This window comes from Homo sapiens, chromosome X, assembly GCF_000001405.40.
Source record: "Homo sapiens chromosome X, GRCh38.p14 Primary Assembly".
Classification (NCBI taxonomy): Eukaryota; Metazoa; Chordata; class Mammalia; order Primates; family Hominidae; genus Homo; species Homo sapiens.
In genome coordinates, this window is record NC_000023.11 from 31,254,182 (window position 1) to 31,269,238 (window position 15,057).

General features: G+C 40.2%; 1 protein-coding gene across 26 annotated transcripts in view, besides 4 other annotated features; it reads right to left on the reverse strand.

Annotated features, from left to right (window-relative positions):
• The window catches only part of DMD (dystrophin), a 2,220,167-nt gene that overhangs the window by 134,960 nt on the left and 2,070,150 nt on the right, over positions 1–15,057 (reverse strand). For 21 of the 26 annotated variants that reach the window (XM_006724469.4, NM_000109.4, XM_011545467.2 and 18 more), the window contains 1 exon segment: positions 6,774–6,835. In XM_006724469.4, the coding sequence (XP_006724532.1) occupies positions 6,774–6,835 (62 nt within the window). 26 annotated transcript variants of the gene reach the window in all.
• Positions 12,326–12,425: a silencer, noted in NCBI's record as "silent region_20729". NCBI's record gives its function as "represses an Ori minimal core promoter by ATAC-STARR-seq in GM12878 lymphoblastoid cells {active_cell/tissue: GM12878}" and the evidence as "EXISTENCE:reporter gene assay evidence [ECO:0000049][PMID:35858748]".
• Positions 12,766–12,895: a silencer, noted in NCBI's record as "silent region_20730". NCBI's record gives its function as "represses an Ori minimal core promoter by ATAC-STARR-seq in GM12878 lymphoblastoid cells {active_cell/tissue: GM12878}" and the evidence as "EXISTENCE:reporter gene assay evidence [ECO:0000049][PMID:35858748]".
• Positions 12,936–12,995: an enhancer, noted in NCBI's record as "active region_29515". NCBI's record gives its function as "activates an Ori minimal core promoter by ATAC-STARR-seq in GM12878 lymphoblastoid cells {active_cell/tissue: GM12878}" and the evidence as "EXISTENCE:reporter gene assay evidence [ECO:0000049][PMID:35858748]".
• Positions 13,016–13,065: an enhancer, noted in NCBI's record as "active region_29516". NCBI's record gives its function as "activates an Ori minimal core promoter by ATAC-STARR-seq in GM12878 lymphoblastoid cells {active_cell/tissue: GM12878}" and the evidence as "EXISTENCE:reporter gene assay evidence [ECO:0000049][PMID:35858748]".

Here is a 15,057-nt window from a genome sequence, read left to right on the forward strand (position 1 = left end):
CTCTTCACATTATCCTATTTTTACCTACATGTCTCCTTCATAAACTGGTCTTCTTGTACTATACTGACAGTATCACAAATGCAAAAAAACTCACATTGTAATTTAAAAAGGAACCATTGGGGAACCACATATTTTATTGTATTTATAATTAAGAGACCCCCCCCCAATAAGACAGGCTAAGAAATAATGTTTTTAAACAGGGTCTCGTTCTGTTGCCCAGGCTGGAGTGCAGTGATGTAACCTCGGCTCACTGCAGTCTCGTCCTCCCGGGCTCAAGCGACCCTCCCACCTCAGCCTCCTGAGTATCTGGGACTACAGGCACATGCCACCATGCTCGGCTAATTTTTGTATTTTTTGTAGAGATGGGGAGACGGGGTTTCACCACGTTGCCCAGGCTGGTCTTGAACTCCTGAGCTCAAGTGAGCTGCTCGCCTCGGCCTCCAAAAGTGCTAGGATTACAAATGTGAGCCACTGTGCCCAGCCTAAATTCTACTCTGTTGGTCAGTATATCTGTCCATATGTAAATACTCTTGATTACTTAAATTTGTAGTAAGATTTGACATTGGAAATTGTGAAGGCCAGGTGCAGTGGCTCACCCTTGGGATCTCAGAGCTGTGGGAGGCCAAGGTGGGAGGATCGCTTGAGCCCAAGAGTTTGAGACCAGGCTGGGCAACATGGTAAGACCTCCATCTCTACAAAAAATTTAAAAAAAGATTAGCCAGACACGGTGGCACACGGCTATAGTCCCAGCTACTTGGAAGGCTGAGGTGGGAGGGTCACTTGAGCCTGGGTGTTCAAAGCTGCAGTGAGCCATGATCAGGCCACTGCACTCCAGTCTATGTGACAGAGCAAGATGCTGTCAAAAAAAAAAAAAAAAACCCCAATAAAAGTATCTCTAAGCAGCATATATTATGTGTGTGGGGGCAGGGTGAGCTTTTTAAAAAATATTTTCTTAAAATTTCAGTAATGAACTTAGGGACCTAGACATAAATTGTGAGAAAAGGACAGGCTTTTAACCACATAATTGCACTTCATGTAAATCAATATTATATTAGTATTTCAAAATAAATTCCAGAGCATATTACTATCTAACATCTACTGATGTTGTAAATGCTTTCTGGAGCCTTGAAGAGCTCAGAGTTTTAAATCACCAAGCTAACCTATTGGAACAGTCTTTCCATTACATTTGTAAAAATGCTAATAGAAATCTAAAACTCACCTCATGAATCAAACATATTATTACTTCTAGGGAGTGACGAAGAATGTACCCTCTCAATAACAAATGAATGACCCAGAGGAGTCTAATGGGAAATATCTCAAGAGCCTCTCTATTTGACAACAGCTTGCCTCACTCAGCCTGTAAGACACGGATGGGTGGCATAATCTTCTCCTGTTGTTTGTTTTCTCAGAATGTACATTTTAAAACATAGGAATGATTACATTTTTAGAAATCCACTTGTCTGCAGAGTTAGCCGAAAGGTACCTCTTGAAAAATAATGATCACAGCAAGTTTAGAAACAGCCTGCCCCACCCTCAGCCCAAAGTAAAAGAAAAACAAAAATCTTAGACACTTGTCCAATATCGTTACTTTTTTTTTTTTTTTTTTTTTTTGAGATGGAGTTTCACTCTTGTTGCCCAGGAGGGAGTGCTACAGCGTGATCTCAGCTCATTGCAACCTCCGACTCCTGGGTTCAAGTGATTCTTCAGCCTCGGCCTCTTGAGTAGCTGGGATTACAGGCATGTGCCACCACACCTGGCTAATTTTTTGTTTTTTTAGTAAAGATGGGGTTTCACCATGTTAGCCAGGAAGGTCTTGATCTCCTGACTCAGGTGATCCGCCCACCTCGACCTCCCAAAGTGCTGGGATTACAGGCGTGAGCCACCGTGCCCAGCCCCAATATCCTCACATTTTAAAGATAAAGCACCAAGGTCTACAAAAAATAGACATGAGACACTTGGTCTCTTATATCCCACTTACTCCACTACTATTCTCTACTACCATTCTATGACTATTGGGGGTAGTCACAGACAAATGCTGAAAGAAAACTGATTTCCAGTTGCTTTTAGTGATTTATTCCCTGTGAAAATCCAAGACAATGCTTTTGTCAAACCATTAATGTGATGTAAAAAATTTTCTGGGGACTCAAATTCCTAATGACTGTTCAGTCATCATAGTGAACCTTTAAATTATTTCTTTACTATGTCTTGCTTTGTTTGTGTAGGACTCTGGCAATATTTTCTCTCAATTTTTTGTGTAGGTACACAGCCGATAAATGAGGGAAACACAATATTTCTAACACTTGATGGAAACCTCCTCTGCAAAGCCATTTTAGATCTGTTGGAAATAATCTAAAATTAATTATCTTATATTGTTTTTTATCTATTTTTTAATCAAAAAAGTTCTATTTTCTCTACCACTAAAATGTCTACATCTGCATTTTTCACAACTGGACATACAGACTAAAAATACATGAGATGATCTCTTTGAGTTTAAAGTTACCTGACAAAGTCCATGAGAATCAGGGTCCTTAAGTATAAATTATCTACATATATGTGGGGCGTGTGTGTGTGTGTGTGTGTGTGTGTGTGTGGCTACTGCTGCTTTTCTGTCATAAGTTCTCATTAGTTAATGAATTGTAGCTATAGAGACACTAAGTAAGAAATGGAATGGGGGTATCGACGAAGAAACTTTTTTACCAAACATCTAACTGTAAATAATATAAATTCATTGTAGAAAATCAGTGGAAAAGGAATGAAAAAGAAAACCACCCAGAATGTATTAGAGAGCTCCAATGGTAATATCTCAAGCAATATTATAGCTTTTCATCAGTAAATACTTGCTACTTTTTCAGTTCTAACAAAATGTTTTCACCTTCTAATCCTATTGTGTTCAAACCCTGGGTGCAGGGGAACACCTGAATGCTTTTGAGGGCAAGGCAGGTAACATAAACATGTGTTGAACAGGCTGCTTGGGAACTTTGGCAAATTAGAGAATGGAAATCTCCTTAGAAGTGGGCGTCTCTAGGAATGTGTAACCTACCATGCATACTGTGAACCACTGTAGCTTCCACGGTAGAGTATGCCTGGAGTGGGGGTACAGAGGGAAAAAGCAACATCTTGATATTTTCAGCACCTCACCAGAGACATGAGGTTCAGGTTCGATTAGGAGAGGGGGCTAGATGTGGTCTTAAACATTTGACACGCCAGACCACAACACCATTTCTGCTTTCAAGATACCTTTCACCAACTGACTGTAGTTGAAGGCTTCCGACCATTTCATCCAGCTCAAAGAGCAATTTGGACCTAAAGGGATACCTCTTGAAGAAGAAAAATATAAACTAATAAGTAAAAACTAAAATCAATGAAAAGTTTCTTTTCAGTATTTTATGCTTATGTTTCGACTCTGAAACACTGTAATTTTGGAGAGGGGGAAAGGCAGTGCTGGTAGTTAATCTTATATGGGATCTCAAGGATGTAGGCAGGCTGGGCGCTGTGGCTTACGCTTGTAATCCTAACAATTTGGGAGGCCAAGGTGGGAGGATCACCTGAGGTCAGGAGTTCGAGACCAGCCTAGCCAACATGGCAAAACCCCGTCCCTAGTAAAAATACAAAAATTAGCTGGGTATGGTGGCGGGTGCCTAGTAATCCCAGCTACTCGGGAGGCTGAAGCAGGAGAATCACTTCATCCTGGGGAGGCGGAGGTTGCCGTGAGCCAAGATCGTGCCACTGCATTCCAGCCTGGGTGACAGAGTGAGAATCTGTCTCAAAAAACAAACAAACAAAAAAGGATGTAGCCATATAACAATCATTCTATATGTGCCAGGCAACAGTGAAAGGAGTGCCCATTGTTTAGGACCCACCATACCATTTCCAGAAATACCACTCAAGTAACTTACTATTCATAGGTAAAACTATCAATTCCTATATACGTGTAGCAGGTATGTAGTAACCAACATAAATATACTTTACCTAGTAAATAAAATCAATGAGAACAGTGAAAGTACTAACAGAAAACTGAGGACAAATCCAGGTGTAGCCCCACATAGCTGTGTAGCCCTGATCAATTCCTCCCTGAGCCTGGCTTCGCTGTCCTGTGAAATGTGGATGTTGATACCATCCACCATGCAGGTTGGTTGCTGGCACATCCCATGTGGAAAACATACAATAGGCCCGCAATAAATGGGAGATGTTATCTGATGAATCACCACTTGGATAAAAGCCCAACGAATGTTTGATTGTTACAAAACTATTGGAAATATTAACTCTGAAAGGTGAAAAGCAAACTTCAACACTTAGTTCACTTGCAAGTGGTTTGTTATTGGGCTAGCAAGAAACAGAATTTCAAAGGGGGCTGGAATTGATCACACACTTACGATGACTTCCTTTTATTATATAAAAATTATACCTGAAAGTTGATTTCATAAAAGAGAAAGTTTGCAATAAATGAGTTCTAAAATCCCCTGCAACTGTAAAATTCTGTTATAATTCAAAATTGAGTGATGTCACAAGCCCAATGTCACAAGTCATGAGAGATTATCAGTTTTGAGTTTATCACCACATCTAAAGTATGGAGAAAATTTTAGAAATATAATGATTAAATGTATATTTAATTTGTATTAAAGGAGCAAACATGTATTCATTGATAGTCCATAATTAGCTTTTCATCAAACATGTTTGCAATTTCTCATTACAGAGTAATTGAAAGTGGTAGAGAATACTATACAACAAAATGGAAATATGGCCATGGTAATACATTACTTTCCAGTGGAAAAAAAAAAAGCAAGTTATAAGACAGAATGATTCAACTTCTATAAAAATATATGTATAGAAAGACATTTTTGAAGATCCTAGACTATTAAACACCAGCTAACTCTAAGAAGTGGGGTTACGAATGATTTGTCTCTTCTTTATTGTTAGCCTGTCTATATTTTTAAACTTCAAAAATATGAATAGGTATTAATTCTATAATAATAATGATTTTAAAATAAGAGTGAATTAAAATATTACAACTAGAAATTACTGTAATTAGAGTAGGAAATGTTAGAAGTGGGCTAAATCTGTGTAAACCACAGGTTACGATCAGGAGGCCCACAGACTAATTTAAATTAGCTCTTTGTGGACAGATTTCTAGTTTTTCTCTTGTACAATCAGGGGTCCTGGGAGTACTGGGATAGAAAGACCAGCTTGCCCAGGACAGCTGCTGCCCACTTCAGATGAAGCCTTTTCATTCTCTCATTTGCCAAAAGATAAGCATTCACGTTTTCCACCTGTGGTATAAACAGTCCACAATTATAAGCCAAAAACATTCTGTAGGGGCTGGAAATGTAGCACTTGAAAATTAGCTGATCCCAATTTTATTTAAAATTTTAAACGTTTACACACTTATAACCAGACTGAAATGACATAATATTACTCGAAATGTATTGGATCTCTCTGGCTAGTATAAGTGACTTTGTTTTTCCTTTTTCATGTTTTTTATTTACATTTTTCAGGTTTTCTAGAAGACATTTAATCATTTATAATTAGAAAAATGTTTAATAAAACCATTTTTTGGCTAATATCTCTTCTCTAGTCCTTGGTGTCTCTATAGCTGCAATTCATTTTGTGAGAATCTATGACACAAAAGCAGTAATAGCTACGTACCCCCTGACACACACACACCCCACTTACGTATACCTACACAGAATTTATGTTTAAGTACCCTGATTCCCACAGTGTTCATCACATAACCTTAAATCCAAAGAGATCGCCTTATGTGTTTTTCTATCAATATGTCCATTCACAGAAATGCAGGCTTGAAAAAGTAGAAAAGACATGACGTTTTTATATTAAAAAAATACATAAAAACACAGCCTGGGCAACATAGTGAGACCCATCTCTACAAAAATAAATAAAAATAAATTTTAAAAATGAGCTGGGTGTGGTGGTGCATTCCTGTTGTCCCAGCTACTCAGGAGGCTGAGGCAGAAGAACCGCCATGAGCCCAGGGGTTCGAGGCTGCAATAAGCTATAACCGCACCACTGCACTCCAGCCTGGGAGACAGAGCAAGACCCTGTCCCAAAACAAAACCCAAAACAAGCTGCAACTTAAGATAACTCATTTCAGAATATTCCTTGTAGATCTAAAACGACAAACCAGACATCTGGACATTTGTCCAGTGTAAAAAGACTGGTGTTTTCAAACCCTTATTTGTATGCTCTGTACCCATTCAAAATAATTCAAGTTATGAGGGGAAAGAAAACAGAACTGTCAGGCTCTTACATAAACACAAAACAAGCCATACTAAAGAAATCATTTAAATGTTCACATTAATGACCCGCCAGGCCTTAGGAATTGTGAGCACCGGAAAGACGGCAGAAAATTCCTTTACACAACATTTGTGGTTTGGCAAAAGGGTTGTCTTGGTTTCACACGGAAGAAATCAACAAGCACCTGAAACAGTTTTCTATCTTCGTGGGAAGAAAAAAAAAAATAGCCATAAATTGCAACTGTTTTTCCATCATTTTAGGCACCAAAGAGAACTACAAAGACCTATAGGCCCTCTCAGGTATATTGAATTTTTAGGAATCAATCAACTTCTAAAACTTGTTTTTAAGGAACCTCTGATAAAAAGAAAGCTGACTGTCAATTTTGGATAGGAAGGTGCCACTGCTTTCACCCTTGAAACAATCTAGTGATGTATTTATATAGCAAGTAACTTTCACACTGCAAACTACTTTATCCTAAAGGTCACCTGTCATTTAACTTGGAGGAAACATGGCCATGTCCTTACCTAAAGACTGGTAGAGCTCTGTCATTTTGGGATGGTCCCAGCAAGTTGTTTGAGTCTCGTGGCTAAAACACAAAACATAAAGAAAGACTTTAGCATTTACAATGAGTAGTCAAGAAAACAGGAAAAAAGAAAACAACAATAACAACAACATGATTTTTGCTTTTGAACCATTCGGAATCTTTATTTCAAAGCGCTTCCATAGTGTATTGAAGAAATGTTTATCTTACAAGCAGAAAGGCCCCTTTCTGCTTTGTTTCCAAAGAGAAAAGCAATATAAACATTATTCGGTTCCAGAATTTGTTTCTTCTTTGCACCCACAAATCGATCGCACTTCAGTTATGATAAATTGACCTTGTTATGTGATCAATAATCGACTATCAGGACTTCTTCACCCATCCAATGTGGAACACTACAGAAAGGACACCGACAACTGATTATTATTCAACTCTGTCAAAGAGATACCGGACATTAGTTCAATAAATATAAATCATCTCACTTCTCATTTGCTTTCACTGCCCCTGACATTTTTCCATTACTCTTTCCTCTACATATACAGATCTCATATCCATGATACCTGTATTTCATTTCAGCTTAAGGTATATCTACTGCCTGACTAATATATCATAACTTCCTTCTTCCCATTATTTCAGAGTGTTTTTTCTTTAAACGCAGTACGCTATACACCACTACACCTCTTCCTATATTTACTTGGGCCTGAATGAAGCATTCACAGCTGTCTTCCATTTCTTGAAGTGTGGTTGCTGGCTATCAGCTCCTGCCACAAAAAGAACAAAACACCTTTGTTCCTCATTCAATTACATGAATAAACCCTGGAGAAATAACTACATATACTTTTCCTTACTTTGGCCCATCTACATAAATCACCATAGCGTCATATTTCCAGTTTTCAGGGATTGCATGACAGGCTTTGATACAGTAAAATGCAGTTCTGAATGATATTTGGGTACTCATATGCAGAGCCTATTCATAAACTTTTGAGGGGAAGGGGAGGGAAGGAAAAAAGAGAAATCGCTTAAACTGGGGCATTTCCAGAGGACCAGAAAGTACAGGGGCCTCACACAGAAAGAGGAGTCTGGAGAGGCAACAATGTCGAATGGCCTTAGCGTATGTTTTGAATTTTAGGGCTCTGCGCCCTACTGGCGGTGAAATTTAAAGCAAGCCTGCCTACCTTGGAGGGTTAAAGGATTAGTTGAAATAGGTAAGTGACCGGCACCATTTGGTGCTCAATATGTGGTCGCTTTTGGTATCATGTGCCCCTCAAATTGTCATCTATTAAAAGCAAATCTGTTATTAGTTGATTACAATATAGATGTGGATCCAACTGTAATTAAGTCAATCAAGGCGAAGAAAGACCCTTCCTAGAGAGCAAAACCAACACACTACATGTTATCACCTATGTTTAAAAAAAATAAGTTAAAACAACCGTTTAAGTTGGTTTAAGAAATGGAACACAATCATAAACCTCATAAAGACATATGGAAATCATCCAAACTGTACAACTTCAAAGACCATCCCTGTAATATTTACTAGTCAGTGATTGAACAGTGAGGGCTACTGAAATCAATTTGCAAGAAAATGTTCACTTGTGAAGTGCTGTTTCACTGTCTTCCAAATACGTTTATTTCAGTTTTACTTTTCCATAGAGACAACTCACATTTGAGGACTATAACAAGGGCTTATCAGTTGAGGGAATATAACAGAGTGACATTCAAGTCTTAAAGAGCAAGAAGAGCAGGAGATATGGTCTCTATGCTTTAAGGGGTTTTAGGACACCCCATGACCAAGCCGGTTTATGATCTGGAGAAGGGGTAGGCAGGACTGGTACTTTACATGCACAGCACAAGGAGGCTGCAGCTTGCAGCTTCGTGGAAAAAGTGTTGCTTGTTCTCAGGCATTTCTCAGCTCGGAAAGTGAGTGTATACCAATTCCATATATAAGTGCAGAGCAAGGAAAGGTTACCTTCTATTGAGACCACCCTGCATTCAGGCCTCCTCTATTTCCAAAGGTCATCCAGATGTGATATAAGCACCAGGGAGAAAGGAAGAGCGAAGAGAGGAAGCACACACATGTGTGCCCACATGTACAAGGGCTCACACAGGCCCTTACTAGTCACACTGTGTAACAACAATGTCCCATCTCCAGGATATTTGTAAGGACCGTAGCATCTTCTATAGGTCTGCAGAAAAACATTTAGCTGAGCTGATAAGCCTGATCAGACAGAGACAGGGAACCACGGTGAAAAGCCACCATCTGGAATGGACTTCAAATTAGAGGAACATAGGCAAGAAATAAACCTGTACCAAACACAGTTCTAAAAGGAAAGGGAAACAGTGTGTACAATTTACAGGAGAATCCCACATAGAATGAATGAGGGCTTCATGGAGCTCCCCATCTTCTAAAGAAATTTCATGACTGTTGGCATACATACATTCCTGCCTTTTTAAAGAATTTATTTTGAAGGTTAAAATTATGAAAAGGGTTTTAGAAATTATTTTTTTTTAATCCATCAGTCCTCGGCAAAACTGAAAATCTCCTTTACTGGAAGAAGGAGGAAATTCTAAGCCCCCAATTCCATTGCCCATTTGTGAGTTAAGATACTAGTCCTTGATAGGTACTATTCTCCCAGTTATCTGTGATTCTGGGGGACTTGAATAACATAGATAAATGAACTCCTCAAACAATTCCAGAAGCTAACCTTTCTCACCTTCAACACACAAACCTTTTATTTCTAAGCAATGCAAAAGAACTAGAAAAACAGATTTAGATTTCACCTTTGCAGTCTTAGTTTCACTTCAATTGCAAATCAGTTCTAAGCAAAAGAAGTGAGCACAAGTGGAAAGAAGAAAAGAATAAAGGGTGTGACTAATTCTTAAAACGAGAAAAATAGTCTTTTAATCATTTAATGCTAAAAATGCTTGGCAACGTAGCCAAAAAACCTTCAGATTCTTTGGTAACTATATGACGAACCAAATATTCACTTCACGGCTTGTTATTTTCTACCTGTGATGAATCCAGAGCCCCACTGGGACACATTTAACCCTCCAAAATAGATAGGAACTATGAATATGGACTGGATGAAACTGTAAGCACAAATCTGCATAACTCATATCTATCTTGTACCTTGAAGGACAAACCACATTTTTGTCTGTGATCAATACCGATTTTACAGCTTCGTTTCTTACTCTGTGCCTGCCTTCTAAAACAGTAGAGAATTCTCAGTAACTCCATGAGAAGAGCCCACATTTACCTGGAATATGCAGACGATATAGAAAAACACGGTGTGCTAGGGAGGAGGGAGTGGAAGGGTGGGTGGCACTGTTTTGGTAATTGTCTCTTTTCTGCATTTCACTCTCCACATCGGAAATACACTCCCCATATACCATGAACAACCAAAAGGGAAATTCTGAAACCTGTTCACATGTTAATGGGTACATCTTTGTTTGGCCTTTCTGAGAACAACAATGTTCAACATAGATCACAAGTCTGTACGTACATTAACACAGAGATCAGCTTCATAAATAATCCTTAAAACGCTCTTTACATCTTTAAAAAATGTTATTGATTTTGGCCCTGCTGGTTCCAAAGCCTGGCATCAGATATGCCTCTCTGAGCAGTATTTATACGAAGATTTCCCCTCTCCTTCTTCTTTCTACAAACCATGATAATCTTTTTCCCTTTTATTTGAGGCGGTGATAGGACCCTGATGCAAATTAAAATATAAAGTCATCGACTATGACAAAAGACCCCAGCAACACCTACTTGTCAATAATAAGAAATTAAAGCATTACTCTACTGAGCACAAGGCTGACCTAATTTCCTACCATACAATTTAAATTTTCTCTCACCTGCTTTAGTTTCAAGTAGTGTGCAAGGTTATTATAACTGCCTCAGAGCTGTTCCTGCTGTCAGTGCTGGAATAATCAGACTTATTGGAATTGCTTTTTTAGTTTCTTAAAAACAAACATTAAACACTTATAAAAAGTAACAAATATCTACTGCTGTGGCTGGGAAAATGGCAGTTGCCTAATTAAAATAAGATTTCTTCTGCCACCATTGTTATTTGGTACTGAAAATATTCCAAACAGTTGCCTTTTTAAAAAACTATCTGTCCACTACTTCCCAGGGAGAAAACTAATCGCTATGCAGCAATATAAAAAGGGAGCGTTCTCTTGCGATTTGCAGAGGATTAGAGTTTGGTTTCATATATAATCTGGAGCCCATTGATCCACACACACAAATGATTTCCCTTTAATCTGAGGATCAGACTCTTTTTCTAGAGGAACCTTGGCATTTGCGTGCTGAATTGTTGAACTTGGCTTGCATTGCTGGAATACTGGCAGGGTGTGGATGGTAAAATATATTTTAAAGTTTCTGCTACCGTGGGGCAGGGGTTTGGAGGGGTGGGCATCAATATAAGCATCAGAAATCCATTCTAGTTCCCCATTTCTTGTTCCCTGGGATATTTACCATTTTATTCTGTCTGGCTAAAGCCAGGGCAAAGATGATTGCCTCGGTGGCTGTTCCAGCTGTTAGTTGTCCTCCGTTTTATTTGCTTTTCAAGGTTTAACTCCTACCCACCCTCAACTTTGGTCAAAGCAATTTCTTTTCAGGGTCGTGTCCAATCGGAGATCAAACAATGATGACTGAAACCAATTCCACGGTGTTCAAGGGTCAGAGACCTTTCATATAACCGTGTTGCTTCATTTGCTCCACTCGCTTCTCCAACAGCAAATGTATCCTCCAAAGAGGGGCTTGAGTAAAAGGCAATAAAAAAGCTAGGCAAAAAAAGAAAGGTTGATTGGGGGTGTGGGGGGGGGGGGGGTGGGTGACAAGGAGAGATGACAGGGATAAAGCAGAAGACCAAGAAGAGTTTATTGCCCAAGGAAAAATGTAGATTTCACTTAAAGACGCCACTTAAAAGTTCACCACTTAAATCGGATGGATTTTTTTCATGATGTAAAAACAGTTTATAATTAATATTATGCCTCCCTCGAGCAACTAAACCCCTTCAATTTAAAGCTTCAAACTTAACTTCAAATTTGACTAATATAAGCAAAGTGTTCTGCCCTTTTTATTGCCGTGCTGGGATTGGGAGTGACAAACTTTGCTTGAAGATGAGCACAGACACCTGGAGAAATGCGAGAGAACACCCTAGAAATGACTCCACACCCAATCCCGAAGGGCAAAAAAAAAAAAAAAAAAAAAAAAGCCCAAACAAACAAAAATCCCCACCCCCTGAAATCTTTGACTTCTGGGCTTTAGTTGTTTGTTCTTTCTTTCCTGATTTCTGCAGGTCTTGGGGCATGGAATGAGCACGGTAGAAAATGCAGCGAGGGAAATGTCAGTTGGAATCCTCGGAAGAAATCAGGCAGAAAGTTGACCTTTTGGCACTTGCAGTGCAATGGAAGGTAGCGCCGCGTGCGCCCCTTCCTTCTACGAGTAAGAGCGACGATTTAGGAACAGCCAGCCTTGCTCACGTCCACACTGGCAGCCTGGAAAGGAGTGAAAAGCTCCCCCGGCCCCAATCCCCGCGTGAGGAACGCGTTATCCCCTCTGGGGACGGGGAGAAATCAGCTTTTTCTCTCCGAGCCCGTCCCAAAGCCGAGGGAAGAGGTTCCCCCACTAGCCCGGCGCCTGGGGAGAAACCCCGGGGGCGCACCTGCAGCCGCGCCGCGGGAACCCGCGGGAGAGGTTCCTAGACGCCCAGCCGCCCGGCGCCCCGGGTCCAGCCGCCGCGCCTGTCCAAGTTTTGACCGCCTCAGCTTGCCCCCTGCTCGCGCCACAAGTGCACGGATTGCGGCCATCAGACGGGGCCGGGGCCGCGATCCACTTACCCTTTGAGCTGTTCCCTCATGGCTGCAAGGGCTCCGCGGTCGAGTGTGGGTACGAGTGGAGGAGTGAGCTTCCCAGAGCCGCCGGGCTCCCCGAAAGTGGAGCGCCGCCGCCGCCGCCGCCCAAGCTCACAGCTGAAAGCACTGCGGAGGAGCCGGCGCGGGCGGGCCGGGGAGGGGGCGCTGCGGGCAGACGGGGCGGGGCCGTGTCGGGCTCCGCCCCCACCTAGGGACCTGGGAACCCGGACACCCAGAGACTGGGCAGTTGGGGCTTTCAAAACGGAAAGGAAAAAGAAAAGAGAAAGAAAGAAAGAAAGAAAGAAAGAAAGAGGATGGGGATTTAAGGTAGACCCAGGAACCTGGAAGCCACACACCGCTCTGCTAACACCTCCTTAAAGCCTCTAGCAAGACTACTTGTTGTCTAAATAAATGACCCAGGTGCAAATGACCTCATCCCAGATAATTAAGAGTGTGGGCTTGGAGTTTTCTTTTTAAAAAATAAAAGAAAAAAATTATATACATAATTCTCACTCTCCCTTCCTCCTCAGTTGAAGATTAAAGTGGCCGGCGATAAGGACGTGAAATTGCCGTTAGGCTCATCCTGGGCTAAAAGGGATTGTTAAAAAGACTTTGGATTTGGATTTGTGACATAGCAGCGGATCTCAAAATGTAGACCCTGGGAACAGCAGTTATCAGTATCACCTGCGAACTTCTTAGAAATGAAAATTCCCTGGGCCCGGCCCAGACCTATTGAACCAGAAACTCTGAGCATACTAATGTTTGAGAATCACTGGTATGGACTCTCTAAATTAAGACAATACCACCAGTGCTGTTGCACGGTTTGGTCCTTTAGTATTCTTTTAGGAAGATCTAGAAGGAACTTGTTTCTAATAGAATATTTTATTGGAAAAGTTACAGGGCCTGAACAGTTCAAATAATTCTAATTTTAGAGTTTGCAGTATGATGATAGAAGTTAACTACACACAATTATTTCAAGCTTGGAAATACTCAAAAGAAGAAGAAAGCCTTCATTAGCACAAGAATTTTCTGCAAACTTCACATAACACCTTAGATTAGCATCCAAAGAGCATCTTACGATAAACTGTTAGTGATATTTTCACTGCCCTTCTTTGTCCATTTATTTTGTTGGCTTGCTTTTCTTTTTATTTTCTTTCAAACATTTGCTTTCCACTCTCCTTTCCGATTGATTCATTCCACTTCGGTCTACAGTTTAAATGTGGTCCCCTTTTTAAAATTTATTTCTTAAGGGATGGGGGTCTCACTGTGTTGCCCAGGCTGGTCTCCCAACTCCTGGGCTCAAGCAATCCTCCCACTTCAGCCTCCAAGTGCCTGCGATGACAGGTGCATGCCACCATATCCGGCTTCTTTTGAAATAATCCTTTTCTGCTCAACATTTTTCCCCCTAGAATGTTTTAGGTGGAAGCACACCCGTTTTGCTTTATCTAATGCTATAGCATGGCAAAAGAGGCAAAAATAAAGTATCTGGACAAAAGCAAAAGGGAATGCCAGGATTCTTTATTACCTTTAACAAACCAAATATAAAGGTAAATGTTATCACTAAAGATATGTGCATGTAAGTATGATCGGTATTGCTATTTTTAAGCAAATATGGCACTTCTTCTGGCATTCTGGCTCATACACTGAGATTACTTAGTGTTGCCCTTTAGCAATTTTAAGCTAGTGAGTTGTGGAGGCAGCTGCTATTACGGTCTGAGGGGGGCACACTAAGATTTGCTTTGGCTGAAGTTGTCCCTTGGTCTAATAGTATATTCTAGGTCTGCTCCGATCCTTGGGGAAGAGGGATTAGTGTCCTGTAATGAGGAAGTAGTGCCCTTTGCAGTAAATCAGAGACACCAATCTCTGTGTCAGTGTGGCAAATCACTTAACTACTGTTTATGTTTATTTCAACGAAAAGACAGAAGCCTCAGAGCATGGACATTTGTAAATATTACAAATCGATAAACTAAGGATTTGTAACACCTGGATAGTAAGACATTTGTCACTCTCTTCCTTTCCTGTTTTTTGTTTGTTTGTTTTACACTTTTAAATTACCTGCTCAAAATTCAGGAGTTCTGACACGCTTCTCTATAAATGCTTAAGTCTCTTTTCTCAGTGTCCAATTAGAAAACTACTAAGAATAATCTGTTGACAAGAAAAAAGAATGGAATAAGAAATCACTATTCAGACTTTTTAAAAAAATTGACAGATGGCAATCCTCAAAAATACATCTTTAAGTTCTTTTTTAGACTGGAGTTATAGGCACTTGAAGACTTGTTCCCAAATCTTGACGTCATATTATAATTAAATACTGAAAGTATTAAGAAATGACGCGGGCATCACAGAGACTGTTTTGTTGTTCAATTGCAGTCAGATTATGAATTTTGCTTATTAGAGGAAAGCATTTGGAAAAG